A 20,393-nucleotide genomic window follows, 5' to 3' on the forward strand; every position below is an offset into this window, starting at 1 on the left:
TTTTATATAACTTAAAGAGTTTAATTATATTGTTTGCAATTCAATGGCTAAATGTTTGAGGGGATGGATACTTCATTCTTCCTGATGTGCTTATTTCACATTGCATATCTGTATCAAAAGATCTCATGTACTCCTTAAATATATACACCTACAATGTACCCACAAAAATTAAAAAACAAATAAAAAAAGTTGAATTAAAAAAAAAGCATACCTACTTGATTTCCTTACATTCAGGTAACTGATTTTGGCTCCACTTACATGGATGAGCATTTCATTTAGAAAAGCAAAGACTCAAATGCAAAAGTGATTGTATCATTTGGCATTCTTCTTTTTCCCCAAGTATACTCACACATATAATAATTAGCAAAGGCATAAAAATATAGAATCCCCTTGTTCCAGGGGAGTCTGGGCATGTGTTTCAGGCCAGGCTGGTCCAGTTTTTCTCACAACTGGAAACAACAGTTGGTTGTTTGCCCAAGATGAATCAATGAGAAGCCTACTTAGCTCTGGGTAGAATAATCAGAAAGAAACTGCCCACCTTTCCCAGTGTGACTGGCCAAGAGACAACAGTTCTCTTGAGGTGCTGGTGGCAATCTTTCTGCCACGAAGAGAGAACTTGGTTAGAGTGATGCTGCCATGGAGCAGAGACAGTGATGGAGAGAGTCATTGTTCAACAAATACTTATTGGGCACTGACTGTGATTACTTAAGCACTGGAGTAGAGCTCTGGGAAGAGAGCAATGATCAAACCAGGCCATAGCTCTGCCCTGAAGGGGCTGACACTCCGGCTAAGGCAGGACACAACGATGTCCTGGGGACACAGTGATGAAGTGAGTAGCCATGAGATACAGTACATGTGGTGGCTCTGAGGCTATGCACAAGGATAAAACAGGGAAGGAGACAAGAGCATCAGAAAAGGTGGAGCTGCAGTCAGGTGGCACCCAGGTGATATCTGAGTGACAACGTGGAAGAGATGGGGGAGTGCATTATGTGGGTATCTGGAGGAAGAGCTTTCGAGATACAGGAAACAGTACATGCAGAGGTCCTGAAGTAAAGTGGAATGAGCAAGGTGGAAAAGAATAGGAAATAAGTCAGAGCAGAGATTGGGGAGTGGATTGTATAAGGCCTCATTGGGCATTTTAAGGATTTAGCATTTACCTGGAGTGGGATGGGAAGTGACAAAAAGGTTCTGAGCAGGGAAGTGACATTATCAGGATGTCAAGGCAAAGGCAGAAACAGGATGAACAGTGAGAGGCCATTGCCCTGATCTACAGGAGAGAGTTGGAGGCAGCTTGCCTTGATGTGTCAGCAGTGTAAGATGTGGTATATTTTATTTCTTTATTTTTATTATTATTTTTTGAGACAGGGTTTTACTCTGTTGCCCACGCTGAAGTGCAGTGGCACAATTACGGTTCAGTGCAGCTCTGATCGATCTCCTAGGCTCAAGGAATCCTCCCACCTCAGCCTCCTGAGTAGCTGGGAGTACAGGCACACACCACCACACCTGGTTAATTCTCTTATATTTTTCTCTGTCTCAGCATAGTGAGACAGTGTCACTATGTTGCCCAGGCTGGTCTCGAACTCCTGAGCTCAAGCAATCATCCCACCTTGGCTTCCCAAAGTGCTGGGATTATAGGCGTGAGTCCTCGTGCCTGGCCAGAAGTGGTAAATTCTTGATAAATCTAAAAGTAAGATTCTGGATCTAGCGTAGGGTATGAGAGAAAATGACTCGAGGGTGACTCTGAGATTTTTGGCTTGAGAAACTGAAACATTGGAGTGGAATTTATGGAAATGGGGACTATCACAGAAGAGAGAGGATTTAAATGGGTTGGAAGGAGAACCAATAATTCAGTTTTATTAAATTTGAGATCTTATTACATGATTGTGGTGAATGTTGTTTGAGTGTCTGGATCCATTCATACTGAATGTCAGAATCACCACTTGACTTTTTGATTATACAAAGCAGAATATTTATCCTACAGATTATCTCTTGCAAACTCAACATAAAATTCTCAATGTTTCTTTTTAGAAACTAATGCAACTTATCATTTTTAAGCCATCTGCAAATTTTATTCATCAGTCCCTTGAGATGAAAGATGCTGTTAAGAGTTTGCTCTCTTTGGTGGCAAATGACAGAAACCCATCTTAGATTACTTAAAGAGGCTAATTAGTGTTTAACTTAAAAATGCTTCTAAAAAACACAAGTATTTGGATATCAAAAATTAAGTGTTTAATGGAAGCTACAGTACTTGAGAATCCTTGTGTTATTTTACATTAATCAGAAATATCATCTAAAATCTGTACTGATTTAAAGCCTTGCATACAAAATTCCATAATGATGAGTACATGAAACTTGCACATTTTAAGTGAGATGGTAAAGAACTGTAGCATGTTTTGAATTTGCAATGTGCAGTCAAGAGGAAGTACATTTGATTAATAATAGTACTTGAGGTTTGGCTTGCTTCTCTAAGTTTCATTCATCCATTCAACATTTAATATGCTGCTCCTATGTGCTGGGTTTGTGCTGGGCACTGTGGCTGGGTAAATAAGACACAGAAGGACTCTTTCCCTGTAAAGTTTAGAATCCATAGGGGAAGAGCGATAGCAAGCAGGTAATCAAAAATGTTATTTTTGCTCTTTATGCCAAGGCAGACAAGTAATTCTCTTCATAGTGATAATCACAAGAGCCTTACCAAAATTTTAAATAGGATTTGCAGTTAAACCATGTCAAAGCTTAGGAAGACTATTTAGAGCTACCAGTAACAATATTATTAATGGCTCTAAGAGATTCTGTTTTACTTGAAATTTTGGTACATATTTAAAAATTATTAACATAAAATTTAAAAATTAACATATGTTCTTTATATGCCATTTTAGGATGACTGGGGATTTTAATGATCTATATGAATTTCCCACCCAACGTAGGAAATTGTCCTTAATAACATCTACAGATCAACCTAAAGACTCTAGATGAACTCCAGTTGAATAATAGCAGAACATTGTTTTTGAGAGATTTCATTCAGTTGCTGGATTTCCCATCAAACTAAAGCTCCATGAGCAGAGAAGCCATGACCACCTGTGATCATCTTACCCAGTTCCTAAGCACAGAGCAAAATCACAATAAATAAAGGTATTAAATGAGTGATGAAATTCTAACAATATGGCTGAAAGAGAGGATACCATAGTGGTTAAGACTATGGATTTGGATGCCCATCCTGTTACTTACTCTGCAATGTCAGTACCATTATATAACCTCCATATGCCTCAGCTTCCTCCTCTCTAAAGTAAGCATGCTAATACCTTCAAGTCATGACATTGCTGTGGGAATTAAGAATCAATACATGAAAATTACTTAGAACCATGACCGGAAATTGCTCAGTAAGTGTCAACCATAATTATCAGCATCACTGTTTTGTGCAAATTTCTACTTCGGATTGGGCGTTTATATGCTATCCCTAAATTGTAAAGGGATTTGGCTTCTTTTTAAAATTTTCATTCATTCATTGTACATTATCATGACATTTCTATTGATTTCTAATCAGTCTCTTCCTTCTGTCTTACTAATCCACTAAGTTCTTCACTGATTCCACCATGATGTTACACTGTCTTTTACTATCATAATTTCCTAGCAAGTAATCACATCAATTATTAAGTCAGAGAAAAGAGCCAGACAAATTTGTTTGCATATATTTTTGCAATCAGAATCTTTGATTGATGCTGTGTTTGGAATATATAAATAATGATGTATATTTAGACCATATTGATTCAGTAAGAATTGTTGAGAAAACCAAACATATTTAGTAAAGAGTTGTAAATACAGAGTTTTTTTGTATCTGTATTTCCAAACCCATGTGCTCTTTGGTCTAACAGCAACCAAGTGGTATGAAAAACAGGTAGATTAGACTTCCTATAATAATTAGATAAGGATCATGTTAAATTGTTACATTAGTCGGTTGCTTACAAATGGGTCTTGCTATAGAAATTCAAATGGTTTCTTGCTAAATTTGTGCTCTGCAATGCTCATTGTACTAGCCAATTGTTAGCCACACTCTTTTTTCTATACCTAATACAAAGATAAACACACAAACTTCTTTAATCAAATTTACACGTGCTAATTAACATCTAAAGTAGCAGAACTGTCTTACATTACTTTAAGTTAACCATAAAAAATGCTAGCCAATCATATTCAACTTTATATTATTGAAGTTCTTTGCAATTTTAGACAAAAAAGTATGTTTTCAAAAAAATTGGAAATGATATGGAAACAGAAATGCGTCAATGAAATTAGCAACCAAGCATAAAAATTGTCTCATTCTTACATAAAGTTAGTTAAGCAAACATTTTTATTAAATTAAGAAATTTGAAAAATAAATTAAGAAAACAATTTTCTGCAAGTAAAAGTATGGTATCACTGCGCGTAAGTTACCTAATCCTTTCAAGCCATACTTCTATCACCTTTAAAATAGAGATAATAATGGCACCTACCTCTTGGGAGTAGTTATGAGGATTAAATGTGGGAATGAGCATAAATTACTTGGGATACAGAATGTTTTCAATCACTATTAGCTAAGATGAGGGCAATGACAATAGTAACTTAAACATTTGCATTGTAAGTACCAATAAAACAATAAAACACAATGATTAAATGTATACTATGCTATTAGATTAACTGAAATATGTGTGGAACATTAGCAAATTGTAAATCACTGACTTTCTTGTAGACTAATATAATTGTAACTCATGATTGCAGCTGGCGAATTTACCTGTGAATACACAGCTAACAAAAACTCAGCTTTGAAAGCAACACTGACAACTCTGGTTAGATTTTTTAAAGTATCAACACATTCACAGGACCATCATCTTTTGCTGATAACCATTTAATGCACATTGCCATTTTTTGTATGATGGAGGAAAGAAAGATAAAGAAGGAAAAATCACTCCTGATTCTTCGGCATTAATTTTAACTTATTCATGCTTATCAGAAATCCTCAAGCTTTGGGAAACTAAAAATACATGAAAGTAAACCCAACTAAGCTTATCATATTTTAAAAGAAAAGGGGATAGATTTAACCTAACACCCCACACTAAGATTTTTTCAGAAGGTGCACGTTCATTTTCACACTCTACCTAAAGATTTAGGGATATCATGAGGACAAGGGTTTTGGAGTTGGGTTTTGGAGTTAGGTTTTGGAGTTAGGTTTATATAATCTAGTGAGATTAATGACTTGGGTTGTCCATTTCAAATAATAGAGAAGGCTATCCTTTTTAATGCAAACTATTTTCCGTACCATTCAAAGAAATCAGAATATACTTACGCGTTTTCTTGGTGGTTACATTAACTGTGGCGCTAAAAGGCCCAGCGCCGGCACTGTTGTAAGCCCGGACAGCCGTGTAATAGGCCAGGTTGCTCTTCAGGCCCCGTAGTCTGGCTGATGTCTCATTTCCTGCCACTTTCATCTTACTGGATGATTCCTCCTTTCCACCCCCATTCCAGTACCGCACCTGGTGGGCGGAAGACACCAAACATGTGAAGGCTTAAAAAATTCTGCCCTTTCCATTAAGTGATTTTCATTAAAATGGGCACTGACTTATTTCCTGATTTGTTCAACCAATATTTACTGAAGACCTACTATGTGCTAGGTGCTGCATTAGGCTGTGTGTCACAGCAGTGAAGATAGAGAAAAGGGACTCTAGGAGGAGAAAAATAATGAACAAATAAATATATGAACCAGATAAATTCAAACAGAACAAATGCTGAGCAAGCCAGACTATGAGATTATAAGTGGGAGAATGAAGGGGAGATATATATATATATATATATATATATATATATATATATATATATATATAAAATTAAAAATAGGAACAAAGTGTTACCATTAATATTGCCAATTTTCTGTAAGTATTGCTGTGTTCTATACAATTTTGCTCAAAAATGTTTACATAAGGCCAGATCATTTTTTAAAAATGTGGAAAAGTCAAGAAAGAAATAAAAAAGATGACATCATTTTCTTTCTTAGTTGTGTTTTGGATTTAAATAGTCAAAGTACTACAACTGAAAGAACAGACTATCTCTATGCTAATTTGGATTTGATAGGCACAACTACAGTACAGGGATGGAGAAGAAAAAGTGTCTAGTCTGAAGGAACCAAATTTGGAAATGTAATTGTTCAGAAAAGAGTGAACGTAAGGTTGACAGAACATGAAGGTAGCATCTACAGAAGATAAGCAGAGAGACAAGTATTACAAAGCATACGAGGAACCCTGCTAGCAAGAAAATGTCAGCAGACCCAACCAGTGGAAGATGAGCTGGAATACGCTGATCTGAAACAAATTTTAAAATAACTGTTTAACATGTCTAGATTTACTAAAGAAGAAACTGAATCTACTATGCAATGACAGAAGATTTAAAAAAAATCAGATTTGAAAAATAATATGCAGGGCTTATAGACCTAAAAAATTACAATTATTAAAAAAATAAAATCAATGATAGAATTAAGCTGAAGACTTATGGTGGAAAAGGGAACTAATTAACCCAGAACAGAGCCTGTATAGAGAAATAAACATTACAAAAGCAAAGTTAAGGGACACTGAGGGTAGAATGAAAAGTTCTAACTGGAGTTCCAGAAGGAGAGACTGAGGAAAAACCAATATTCAAAGGGAAAAAGGCTGATAATTTTCCAGAACTGAAGAAACGCAGCAATTTTCCTATTGCAAATTCACTCTGAGTTTAGAGTAGGAAAAATAAAAGGCAAATCCACTCCAGGGGAGAGGGTTGTTAAGACTGAATTGTGGTTCTCAATCATTTTTCATTGCCAGACACCTGAGAGATACAGGCTATCTTCTTGAGCAGTCGTGAGTGACTATGCCTTGGTTTGCCAGTGAGGATGTGCACCTGGGACAGGAATTAACTGCATTTCCTCACCCAGCAGACAGCAGGAGGGAAAGGATGTTAAGGTGGATTCACACACCTGAGGCAGGGGCTTGTCTGTCTTGGTTATCACCATATCTTTAACTGTTCGCAGCAAAGCCTGTACATACTAACCATTAACTGCTGTTGAATTGTTGAATGACCTGAACATAGTTTAAAAATGCCTCCCTCCTTCCTATGGCAGAGATTCGCCAGGCTTCGTATTCAAGTCTCAATACTGTATTCATCCATGAGACATCAAAACTCCAATTTCTTGATGAGGCAATACAATTTTTTCCTTCAGAATCATAAAACCATTTCACAAACCAATATATTTTTATTTGGGTAAGTAAACAGAAACACAGTTGAGAAATATCAGAATTAAAAATATCCCTATTAGTTCCAGTAATTTGATTTTTCCATAAAGAATGTTCCTATTGTGAAGAGTCCTTAATACCACTGCAGCAGAGATTTCACTTAATTTAAATTTAAAAATGAAATGCAGCTTATAAAAATAATCTATTAAAATGGCATTGTTCAGCCATTAAAGAATAGGTATTATATCAGAAATACTCTTTTAATAGACAAAAAGAATTATGTTCATACTAATAGATTTTCAAAGACAAATATTTTAACTTAGCAGTTAGACCAGACACATTTAAATAAATAAAAAGCAGGTAAAAATGCATTAAAGGTCTTTTAGGAAGACAACTCCAGATCTGTCTTCCACTCTTCTTCACTCTGCTCTCAGTCCCTAGGAGAGCTGACTGGTATGAACTATTGTCAGTCTGGCTCCTTTGCCCTGTGGCTTCTCGCTGGGTGTAGGTAATAGGATGCTGGTGATGGGAGGGTGGAAGGAAAGAGAGGCTGGGATATTTATTACCCTGCATTCCCCAATGCTGAGCCACCATTTGGTATGGAATATCTTTGCCTAATAAAGAATACAGCACCATTTAGGCAACCCTCACTCACAAAAGGCTACTGCTATGGCTCTCTCCAGTAAAACCAACCCTTTGACCCTCTTCAAAAGTCTGCATTATACTCACTTGAATGCATTTTTGCCTGTCATATTTATTTCAGTATGCCTCAATTGTCTGTATCTTATTTTCCCATGTGCATTCAACTTGTGCTACAGTGAATTCTTTGCCCGATTGCAGGGAATTAGACCTAATGCATAAGTCTTTTTTTTCCAGTGACATTTTCATAGTCTCAAAAAAAGTACTCACATATTTGACATCTTTTTTCTTTTCTTTTCTTTTCTTTTTTTTTTTTTTTTTGAGACAGAGTCTCACTGTGTTGCCCAGGCTGGAATATAGTGGCACGATCTTGGCTCACTGCAATCTCCACCTCCTGGGTTCAAGCAATTCTCCTGCCTCAACCTTCTGAGTAGCAGGGATTATAGGTGCCTGCCACTATGCCTGGCTAATTTTTGTATTTTTAGTAGAGACAGGGTCTCACCATGTTGGCCATCCTGGACTCGAACTCCTGACCTAAGGTGATCCACCCTCCTCGGCCTCCCAAAGTGCTGGGATTACAGGTGTGAGCCACCACGCCTGGCCTACATCTTTTTTCATTCTAATTCAAATATCAGGAACACATTCCGTACAGCTGTTTGGAACAGGAGGCTGGAAGAAGGCATCAATGAAGTTTAAGTTTGGCATTCTATTATGGCACATTAATTACATTCTTCTGCCAAACTTAAAAAAAAGACTGATTCCTCCAAAATATGCTAATCTGTATCATTTCACAAGCGTAGACTTGTTTTAATCATTTATCAAGGTCATTCTCCCAAATTTGGTTCTTTCAAAACAGAGAAGGACTTTAAAAAAATGGACTGTAGATACTGCACTAGAACGTGGGAGCTTTCATTCCTCAGGCACCCAGGATCCATGAACTTAAAGCCTTCTGCCTCTCTTCATCATGTCTGTATCTCTTGTTCCAACCCAAAAGGGCACCAGAAAAGATCTGAGCCTGAGTGTAACGGCTTAGCTGATGAAATAAATTGGAGCCCAGGGAAATGAGCTTCTCAACTACTGCTTGGTCAAATCAGAAAGAAAATTAGTCTAGATGCTAATGATGATGTGTGCTCAGCATGCCACATGGCACATGATCAACCCTCACTGAGATGAGAGAAAGGAAGGAGCTATTAACAATTTTAAAGCCAAACTGGGGAAACTGCAACCCAGAAAAGTTAGCCACACGACTGATAATTAAATACTCTGCCAAGTCCTTCTCCCCCAACCAAGGTTAATTTTTAAATCATTACTGAAACTAAGAAAAGACATATTTTTATCTTGGTGTAATTACATAAATTATTTTGTAAGATTTTCCCAATTAGTACTTCTTTCAGCTTGTTTCCTTTTTCTTTATACTTACCAAGCATTTGGGGAAGAAATGTTTAATCGTTGTTTCCTTTCAATACTGTATTCATGCTACATTTGGACATTCTATTTGCTACTCTTTACACAAACAGGCAAGCGGCAATGCATTTCAACCTGTAATTAATTTCAAGAAAGTCCCATTTTCCCATAGCTCTTCTCATCTTTCTGTGCCCCACTTTGATGGCAATATCAGCATGCATTAGAAATGGTGGCCACTGGGTCCCACACTGGGATTGTGCTACATCACTATATATTACTTCACTGGTTTGCTTTTTTTTTCTTCAGTACAATCTCATCCCAAAGCCCAATATTCAAAACAGAGAAAAGTGACAGCCCTAAGTCTCTTTCGGCCATTTTGACAATAGCTGCTTTATCTCATTTAATTTGCAAACAATGCTGTGAGTTATTATTATCTCTATTTTAACTGAGCCTTGGAGAGCTCGAACAACTTGCTCAAGGCCATACAGCAACAGGGTAGCAGAGCCCAAACTGCAGTTATTCAATCAACATATATTTTTTGCATGCCTCCTGTATGTCAGATACTACTCCAGGCACTTGGGATAGATCAATGAGGAAAAAGGCTGAGTTACCTTCTCCTTGTAGAGTTTGTATTCAAACTAGCAGATCTGAACACAGGTTTGTCTAATTCTAAAATGGTGTGGACTTAACTAGACACTGTGACGGTTCTATGAGGATTTTTAAATTTTCTGTCTTTCAGTGAAACTCTCTTTCTTGGTGTGACCAATAATGGTGTAATTCTCCTTTCTTATAAAATATCCTTATCTGGATGACTTCTTATTGACCTAAATTTATATACAGTTATGTGTTACGATGACAGGGATACATTCTGAGAAATGTATCATTAGATGGTTGTTGCATTGTGTGAACATCGTAGAGTGCAATTATGCGAACCTGCATGGTATAACTTACTACACACCTATGTTAGATGGTGTAGCGTAGTGCTCCTAGGCTATAAACCTGTACAGCATGTTACTGTACTGAATACTGTAGGCAAGTGTAACACAATTGTACATTTTTGTATATTCAAACATACATAAACATAGAAAAGGTAAAGTAAAATTGTGGTATTGTAATCTTAGGGGACCACTGTTGTATGTGTCATCTGTCCTAAACTGAAATATCATTATGTAGTGCATGACTATATTAAAAAATCAACATCTACCTGCCTTAAGCTGTTCAACAACCACCAGTGACTGCTAGCACTCTGTTCGGTTTGGAATCCCACAAGCCATTCATGTATATTCTTCCATTTATTTTTCTTAACTATTTTACAAGTTACGACTAGGTCAAGAATTATGATCCTGTCATGATTTCTGTAAAGGACAACATTGTTCATGGTGAGTGTGCATGTCAGTCTCTCATCTGAGGACTGCCATATGTGTTCATTTATTTTCTTTTTTTCTTTTTTGAGACGGAGTCTCGCTGTGTTGCCCAGGCTGGAGTGCAGTGGCGTGATCTCGGCTCACTGCAAGCTCTGCCTCCCTGGTTCATGCCATTCTCCTGCCTCAGCCTCCTGAGTAGATGGGACTACAGGCACCTGCCACTACGCCCGGCTAATTTTTTGTATTTTTATTTATTTATTTATTTTTACTTTTTTACTTTTTTATTTTTTTTATACTTTAAGTTCGAGGGTACATGTGAACAATGTGCAGGTTTGTTACATATGTATACATGTGCCATGTTGGTGTGCTGCACCCATTAACTCATCATTTACATTAGGTATATCTCCAAATGCTATCCCTCCCCCCTTCCCCCACCTCATGACAGGCCCCAGTGTGTGATGTTCCCCACCCTGTGTCCAAGTGTTCTCGTCGTTCAGTTCCCACCTGTGAGTGAGAACATGTGGTGTTTGATTTTCTGTCCTTGCAATATGTTTGCTGAGAATGATGGTTTCCAGCTTCATCCATGTCCCTACAAAGGACATGAACTCATCCTTTTTTATGGCTGCATAGTATTCCATGGTGTATATGTGCCACATTTTCTTAATCCAGTCTATCATTGATGGACATTTGGGTTGGTTCCAAGTCTTTGCTATTGTGAATAGTGCCACAATAAACATACATGTGCATGTGTCTTTATAGCAGCATAACTTGTAATCCTTTGGGTATATACCCAGTAATGGGATTGCTGGGTCAAATGGTATTTCTAGTTCTAGATCCTTGAGGAATTGCCACACTGTCTTCCACAATGGTTGAACTAGTTTACAGTCCCACCAACAGTGTAAAAGTGTTCCTCTCTACTAAAAATTTTTTGTATATTTGTAGAGACAGGGTTTCACTGTGTTAGCCAGGATGGTCTCGATCTCCTGACCTCATGATCTGCTTGCCTCGGCCTCCCAAAGTGCTGGGATTACAGGTGTGAGCCACCGCGCCCAGCAGTGTTCATTTATTTTCTTTAAATAAATTTGATCAAACATTGAATTCCATATCCTGCTCAGCTAATGGGAGATTCAGCCACAGTCATTCCTGTGGCTCCCTTCCCAAAGCCCCCAAGATCACTTACTTTTGTGTTTGATTTGAGCCCTTTAATTCTAGCAGCTGGGGGCCATGTTTGGTGAGTGAGAAATCACTGCCGAGTGTGGGAAACACAGTTGTTCAATCTTGCCGTCAACCTGGGCACTGCTTTAGAAAGATGTAGCCCCCAGGAGGCTTTGTAAGCTTCAGACATTTATGTCTGCCAATGTCATTGGAAATTTCTCTTCTATGTTTTCCTCAGTTGCAATTTTCCTCCTGTGACCCTCCAAGAAACACGGAACAATCTGCCTAATGGCCTGAAGTTTTGAAACAAAGCTAGGAAGGGAAGTGTCTTGCAGGCAACTCCTTTTGATAGCTTTTGGCATAATCCCTTGAGTTAAGGGAGATTACTGTCAATTATTTGCTACAGAATATTTACTGGAGAGAAATAGATACATTAATATCTCAAAAATTCTTCTGAGGGATGTCTCACACCTACTGACTGTTTATTATGATGAGCCAGAAACTGGCCAGGTGCAGTGGCTTACGCCTGTAATCCCAGCACTTTGGGAGGCCAAGGCAGGCAGATCACCTGAGGTTGAGAGTTAGAGACTAGCCTGACCAACATGGAGAAACCCCATCTCTACTAAAAAATACAAAAGTTAGCTGGGCGTGGTGGCGTGCACCTGTAATCCCAGCTACTAGAGAGGCTGAGGCAGGAGAGTTGCTTGAACCCAGGAGGGGGAGGTTGTGGTGAGCTGAGATCATGCCACTGCACTCCAGCCTGGGCAACAAGAGCGAAAACTCCGTCTCAAAAATAAATAGATAGATAAATAAATAAAGAGCCAGAAATTATGAGAATCTCATTACATACCTAATCTTATCCAATCCTCCCAATATCCTAATGAGGTTAGGCCTATTATTGTCCCCATTCTACAGGTGAGGAAAACGAGGATCACAGAGTTTATGTAATTTTCCAAACACAGCTGGCAAGTGGTAGAATTGGGATTTGCTATGGGACTGGCCTCAGAGCCACAATCCCTTACAGCTGTGCTCCTTCCAGCCCCTATATCTTTACCTCCATTGCCAATGCCACTGCCAGTTCTTTAACCACAAGGGAGCTACTGTTGGCTCCCCATCATCTTTCATTGCTTTCATCTATTGTCATGGAATTAAAGGAATCTTCCATCCAGCTGTTCCTGGCTTCCTTTAAAAGATGTGCATTAAGTTGTTCTCCTGTATTTATGTGGTGTTTTACTTCTTCATACTCTCTCTTCCTTAAGTCCAGACTATTCTGTCTCTGATCAGGCTTCTCTGTCAAGACCAGTGTTTATTATGTTTAACTGTGCAGGAAGATGTTTCCTTACAGATAGTTACTAAAAATATACACTAACAAGACCTAGTCCTAAATGTTTGGATTGAGTGGGTCCTGGGAGAGCTGTGGGAGCTCAATTTTAACAACACCTTCAGGTAATTCTGCTGTAGGGGGTTCACAGCCCATACTTTGAGCATCATTGCTCTATTCCCTATCCTTTCTTTTCTTAATTTTTTAATATTAATTCAAGTCGATGCTTGTTTGGTTGCAAGGAACAGAAACTCTTTCAAGGCAGTTCAAATATAAGGAGAATCTATTAAAAAGAAGGGCAAGGTTACATTATGAAAAAGAATAAAGCCAAGTCATATGATAACTGAATGACTGTCAAAGAGCTACTTTATTCTGGCTGCCCCCACTTTTTTTGAGATAGAATCTCAGTCTGTCATCCAGGCTACAGTGCAATGGCAGGATGACGGCTCACTGAAGCCTCGACCTCCTGGGCTCAAGCAATTCTCCCATCTCAGCCTCCCAAGTAACTAGGACTACAGGCATGTGTCACCATGCCTGGCTAATTTTTGTATATTTTGTTGAGATGGGGTCTCACTAAGTTGCCCAGGCCAGTCGTGAAATCCTGGGCTCAAGCAATCCTCCTGCATTTGCCTCCCAAAGTATTGGGATTACAGGCGCAAGCCACCACACCTGGCTTATTCTGCCCTCTTGCAGGTTCCATGGGCCCTTGTCTCCTCCATTCTTTAGGGATGCATGACAGTGTATCTCATCTCTGCAGATTAGCTTTGTCCTGCCTGTCCATGGCCTTAGTTTGAGAAGTCTGAACTGAGCCCTAAATTTGACACACTACTGCATTACACTCACTAACTATAATCTCTATAATTTCTTATATAAATATCTCAAACAAGAATCTGACTTGCTAGGCTTCACAGTCCACAGAGCATTTACATTTGATCAAGAGACCACCCTGGAACCCTCATTTGAAGGTGTGTTGGCAAGTGGAGGGGTATGTGGCCCTGTGATGCAAACCTGCCTGTGTAAGCCTGCCACTGAATCAGGAGTTACATGCTTCCTCAGGGAAGCTTGGAGGGAAGCTTCATAAGAAGACAGCTGTGGGTAGGATGAAATCACAACTATGAATCCCACAATGTCATTGCTGGCAAAATCTTTGAATTGTATTTATCTTGCCAGTTCTCAGCTCTACTACTCCCAGTTTCCTCTAACTGCTCACTACTAAATAGGGGACCCAGTTCAAATGGTTCTTCTTAGCCTTTAAAGCCACCTGTGACCTGGTCCTCCCATGCCTATTTGAAGTCACCTTTCCAAACAGGAACCTTTGGCAGGTGGGCCTCTACTCCTCTGCTTTTCTATCATGCCTTGCCTAATCCAGAATGTTTTCCACTCCTTCCACCTTTACTTACTTTGCCTTGAAAGTCCTGTTAAGCCTTACTACCCTTATGAAGACTTTCAGTATGTCCCATCCTTCTTGACAACACAAACATTTCCTGTTTTGGGTGACCTAGTCAGACCTTCATTATATTTGGTCTTACATTATCCTCTGTTTCAGATGTTTCGTCCTATTTCACTAAACAGAGAGGTCTTTGAAGGCTCAAAATATCTTACAGACAGCTGGCTTCTCTAGAGCCTATAAAAGAACCCCACAATGTAACAAAGCCACCAAGAAAGTAAGACAAAGAGCTGGAGGACAGTGACTTCCTGTTGATGAAAGTACTCTATGAACTTGATACTGCAGTTCAATCTCACCCTTATTTTTTAGTCAACTCATCTAAAATATTTGGCCCACGTGATACGTGATTTCCTTTCATATTCTTTTTTTATTCCTTTTCTACTCCAACTAATGTTATTTTCATTCAACTGGTTAAATTCAGTATACATGGAACATCAGATGAAACAATGTGTTGATAAAAAAATTTCGGCCAAAGACAGACTTCAAATAAGAGGTCATTGTTAAGGGTTTTAAATTCAAGGAGACAAAGTGGCACGGTAACACACATACACAATTTAATCGGAAAAGAAATTACCTCATAGCCCAGTAAATGTCCATTGCTCAACTTCCAAGGAATGGTGTTCCATGAAACCTCAATTTCTGAGGAAGATAGGCTATTTGCAGAGACTTGAGATGGGGCCACTGTAGGCTCTGTTCGGAAACAGAAATTGAAATATGATGATAATTTTGGCAGTTAGTTTAAAACACAGATTAATGTTCTTATTTTTATAAAAGCATTTTAACGTATTTGAAAATTGTATGAAATATTCTGGCACCATATGTTGAAAATAGAGACACTGGTCCATTTCCGTTTCTTAGGAAAAGATGGCATCATAGCCAAAGGCTTTTCTTTGCTAAACAGCTGTGGCAACCTATACTTTCCTCCCTTGCACCTCTTTCTTGGCATCTTCCTTATCTTCCTTTTTCTTTGCCTGTCTTCTCCTCACCTTGTCCTTATTTCCTTCCCTTCATCTCATTCCTACTGCTTGGGAACTTCTCTGCCCACAGACGCTACTTAGTTTTCATTTTGCCAAACAAAGGTCTAGGTTAAGTAAAGCTCATTTACACAATAAACACTGAGTGAGTACCCTGTCTAGAGAGGCCTACAGAGACAACTGAAATGTGGTGGATGGCATGCTCTTTTGAAGGAGTAGATAGAAATGCAGGTGGCTTATCATATAGCAAGAAGATTCCCCTTTGTAAAAAGCACTGTTGAGATTCTATGGGGTTCACAGTGGTTCTCCCTTCTCAGGGCCCAGCTCTGAGCAGGAATCTCCCCTCCCTCAGGTGCATTTCTCTGTCAAATGATCCTGCTTCTCAGACAAGGATCTTGCTTGATGCTAAGACGAATTCCTGGTCTAAGGCTGGGCCCCTTAGATTTTCTCTCCTGAGAATTTGAAACTTGGTTTGGAGAGTCGAGGAGTACTTGGAGCCCACTGATCCAGTGCAGGTGCTCTAGAAGAGCAGAACCATTTTCTGAGGTTCCAGGGCTTCTCTGATTGAAGATCTTTGTGAGGTTTGCTGCATAACTCTCCCTTGGATTCACAGAGACACCCTAGTAGATTTCACAGAAGTCTTTTGCTTCTTTCTTAGGTAAGCCCGATTCATTTTTCATGTTTGAACAGAAAGACTTTTAGCTAACTCTGCAGCAGGAGCAAAAATGATAAGAGGAGAAGAAAAATGAGGGAGGCAACAATGCGTAAGAGGCTGTGGCTGCCCCTCTTTTCCAGTTGCCAGCACCTAGGTCCTGGATGCACAGGTAAACAGTGTCCGAAAACTCCCTGGATAATGGCCATCACTCCCCAGACCCCTGACTTGCCCTTGCAATCCCTGGCAGCTTTTAGAAATGAGGTCTGGCTATGAATTTAAGACTCTTCTGCAAAGACTTGTATAACCCTTAAAAAAAAAATCCCTCTCAGAACTCAACCAAAAGTGAGAACACAAGAATAGGGGCGGGGAGCCGAAGAAAAATCAACTCTACTTACTATTCTTAGGAATGACAACTGCAGGCCACTTTTTGCAACTTACTGTCAGGTCTGGAGGGTAGGGGAGACACTGATATATTTCGTGAGCTCAGAATGGTTAAGGGCAAAGGCCCTTGGTTAAAATACTGGCTGTACCACTTACTATTAGGAATTTTGGCAAATTTATTACTCTCTTTCACAAGGCTTCCATTTTCTCATTTGTAAATGGGAAATAATAGTGCCTATATTTTTTATTTGAAATATCAAATTAGGTAATGTCGGGCAAGTAGTAAAACTTCAATACATGTTAGTTTCTGCCATTTTTTTTTTTTTTTGTAGAACTACATGAGATAGCCAACAGTTGTTGCTGATCTATGAAATGGCAATTTTGCATAATTCTTTTACCTTGATTATTTTCTAAAGCGGTCATGAGACAAAATGTAGATGTCTCAATATCTGAGACAGGTATAAAAGAAAGGCAAAGAAACAGAACGGGTCCAGAGTGAAGTATGTCTGTATCTCCACCAGCAGGTTCATATCCCTCAAACCTGCACATTGCATGTCTGTTGAATGAGATACCGCTGCTCCTGACTCTTCATCCAGTAACATCCTTTTCTCAGGCCATGGGAACCACTATACAACTTAGGACTAGGGTAGCTCCAAGGGGTATATTTTTATTACCCCAAGGTAAGGCTGTGATTTTCCTTGCTTCACAAGCTGGAACGTAGGAAGTGTTCCTCATAAACAGATTTTTAAATTGATGGTTATGATCTGAGACAGGTCTCAATCAATTTTGGGATTTATTTTATCAAGGTGTTAAGGACATGCCCAGAAGAAAAAAAAAACAAAACACGGGTGTACAGAAACATGGTCTGTGTCCATTTCCAAAGGTGAATCTGAGGGCTTTAATATTTAGAGTGGGCTGGAGTGGAAAGAGGAAGGGTATGGTAATCCGCATGTTGCAAGGGAAAAGGAGCAGATAGGAGGCTAATCAATTAGGTCTCCTGCTCAGTAAATCAGCACTTTACATAAGGCAAGGCGAACATGGAGTAGCTACCTGTAGAGAGATTTAACCTTTTATCTGTAGCTATCTGGTTAGGAACAAAAGGAAAGGCATTTTCTTGCATGACTTGGCTTTCAGCTTAATTTCTTCCTTTTGGCCTAGTGAATTGGGGTCCTGAGGTTTTATTTTCCTTTCACGGTTACATCCTCTAACTATCCATTAAGTCTTATACTTCAAGTCATTTATGATTGATCTTTATGACTTGCACTGGGAATCTAACTACTACCTGGATGATTGTTCTTTGGAATAAATATATTTGAAGTCAAAACGAGACTCCAAATCAGTTTTTGGAGCACAAATAATTATTATTAGGCGGAACTGATATACAGTCATGTTTTCCATACCTTCTTCTGCAGAGAACACTGTTGTCACTGGGCTAAATGGTCCTTCACCTTTGTTATTATAAACACCCACTTTAACTTCATATGGTGAATATGGCACGATGCTTTCATTCCTAAAGACATATCTTGGGGTGTCAGGGGATGTCACCACTGTCTGGATCCAGGTGGTAACCCCAAGAGGGCGGAAAGCAACAACATACCCAAAACCTTCACCATTCTGTAGTTCTTCAGGGACTGGCTATAAAGGAAAGACATACTGAATCACCCTTACACATAAGGGCAAGGCAAAAATGAATGCAGCTGTAATCCACAGGCATTTATTTGTAAAAGTCATCAAATAATCATCTACATTGTATTAAGCAGTTGCATGAAAAAAGGAGAAAAACATCAGCAGGAGAGTCATGTCAGCTGCTTTTAAACAGACATATGTCACCATTTCATAGCCATCCAGATAATGAACTGGAATTTTCTGTGATTATTCAGTTAGCTGATCATCTTATGGCTCAAGTCTGAGTTTCTAATAGGAAGATATACTTTCAGTTGAAAATATCTGATCTCTTAAGCCAAATAAAAATTATCTAATTCTTAATGTTGACTTTATGAGAAGAAATATTAAAATGGTGATTAAGAACAATTAAGTAAAACTGGAAAAAAAAAAAAAGGCCTGGTACGGTGGCTCACGCCTGTAATCCCAGCACTTTGGGAGGCCAAGGCAAGTGGCCATCACGAGGTCAGGAGTTTGAGACCAGTCTGTCCAATATGGTGAAACCTTGTCTCTACTAAAAATACAAAAATTAGCCGGGCGTGGTGGCATGCGCCTGTAGTCCCAGCTACTCGGGAGGCTGAGGCAGGAGAATTGCTTGAATCTGTGAGGTGGAGATTGCAATGAGCCGATATCACGCCACTCCTGGGTGACAGAGAGAGACTCCATCAAGGAAAAAAAAAAAAAAAAAGGGAAGTAAATACTAATTTATAAATTAATGAATTACATCCCTGTAACTCTAGCACTTTGGGAGGCCAAGGCACCTCGATCATTTGAGGTTAGGAGTTTGAGAGCAGCCTGGCCAACATAGCAAAACTCCGTCTCTACTAAAAATACAAAAATTACCCACGCATGGTGGCGCATGCCTGTAATTCTAGCTATTTGGGGAGGTTGAGGTGGGAGAATCACTTGAACCCAGGAGGTGGAGGTTGCAGTGAGCCAAGATTGCACCACTGCACTCCAGACTGGGCAACAGAGCAAGACTGTCTCAAAAAAAAAGGAAAAAAATATTAACGAATTAAACTCAAAGCTATACTTGAGTCGTGTCAAAAATTTTGTTGACACATCATCAGCATCTTCAAAAAATGCAGGTAATTCTAGTACTTTTTGACTTCAAACCTATTAACCTTTTTCCTACTGATGATGTAAACCAATGGCTGGGAGAATGGCCAGGAAAGAAACAAACTCAAGCACCTGTTGGAATAGGTGACTTCACCAGTGGGGGCTGCACAGCTGCTTGGAAAGTCATAAGGGGAGCTTGAGGGGCAACAGCCGCAACATAACTCATCTCTATGTCTACCAACCAGGTGACCCTGAGCAAATTATTTCTTATATCTGAGCCTGAGTATTTTCATCTGTAAATTGTTGCAAGGATGACATGAGGAAAATACATGCTAAATGCTGGGAATAGTGGATGGCTCAGAGAAAGTATCAAAAAATATTAGCTACTAGGGCTACAACCACCACCACCAGCCCCACTACCACTAATCCCACCATCACCACCTATATTACCACCAGCAGCAGCAGCACCCACCAGCCACACCCCCAGCACTACCACCACCACCTGCACCATTGGCACCACCACCTGGGAAGCCATAATGATCATGGGAACAGCAAGACCCTGATGGGGAAGATGCTGCCCAAACACTTACATCCCAGGTTATCACAAGTTCAGACCGGCTTCCGCCTCCTCCATTGACTTCAGAAGGAGGCACTTCTGGAACTATACAGGTCAGAGAAACAGAGATGAAATGGTACTTGCATTTAGTAATATTTATCTAAAAGATAATGCAATGTTTTTTTAATATTTAAAATAATTTCATCATTGGCACATGATTCATACATATGGGTGTTTATGTACATATACTTATATATTATATGCATTTATATATTTTTATGAGATCATCAAACAACATATTTACATGAAATCATAAAAAAATTCAAAATCTCTCAAACAGTAATAAAAACATGACCAAGTTGGAAGATACTTTGCTAGTATGAGACTTAAAACAAGAAAAAGTGATTCACTGGAGATGATGGGAAATCAATCCAGCATGAATGTTTAGCTTGTGACTATTCCAAGTAGAATATAATTCTGAGAACAACATTGGCTATATGTAAGGATGACCCAGACTCAAACCCTCGAATCTTGTTTTGAGGTATTATTT

At 39.1% G+C, this 20,393-nt stretch overlaps 1 protein-coding gene across 5 annotated transcripts in view; it reads right to left on the reverse strand.

Moving 5' to 3' along the window:
* The window catches only part of CNTN3 (contactin 3), a 352,092-nt gene that overhangs the window by 17,423 nt on the left and 314,276 nt on the right, over positions 1-20,393 (reverse strand). For all 5 annotated transcript variants that reach the window (NM_020872.3, NM_001393376.1, XM_011533768.3 and 2 more), the window contains 4 exons: positions 19,878-19,948; positions 17,967-18,201; positions 15,131-15,246; positions 5,315-5,501 (listed from right to left, as the gene is read on the reverse strand). In NM_020872.3, coding sequence (NP_065923.1) covers positions 5,315-5,501; positions 15,131-15,246; positions 17,967-18,201; positions 19,878-19,948 — 609 coding nt within the window. The remainder of the gene's footprint in view (positions 1-5,314; positions 5,502-15,130; positions 15,247-17,966; positions 18,202-19,877; positions 19,949-20,393) is intronic.

The sequence above is a fragment of the Homo sapiens genome, chromosome 3 (assembly GCF_000001405.40).
Source record: "Homo sapiens chromosome 3, GRCh38.p14 Primary Assembly".
Lineage (NCBI taxonomy): Eukaryota > Metazoa > Chordata > Mammalia > Primates > Hominidae > Homo > Homo sapiens.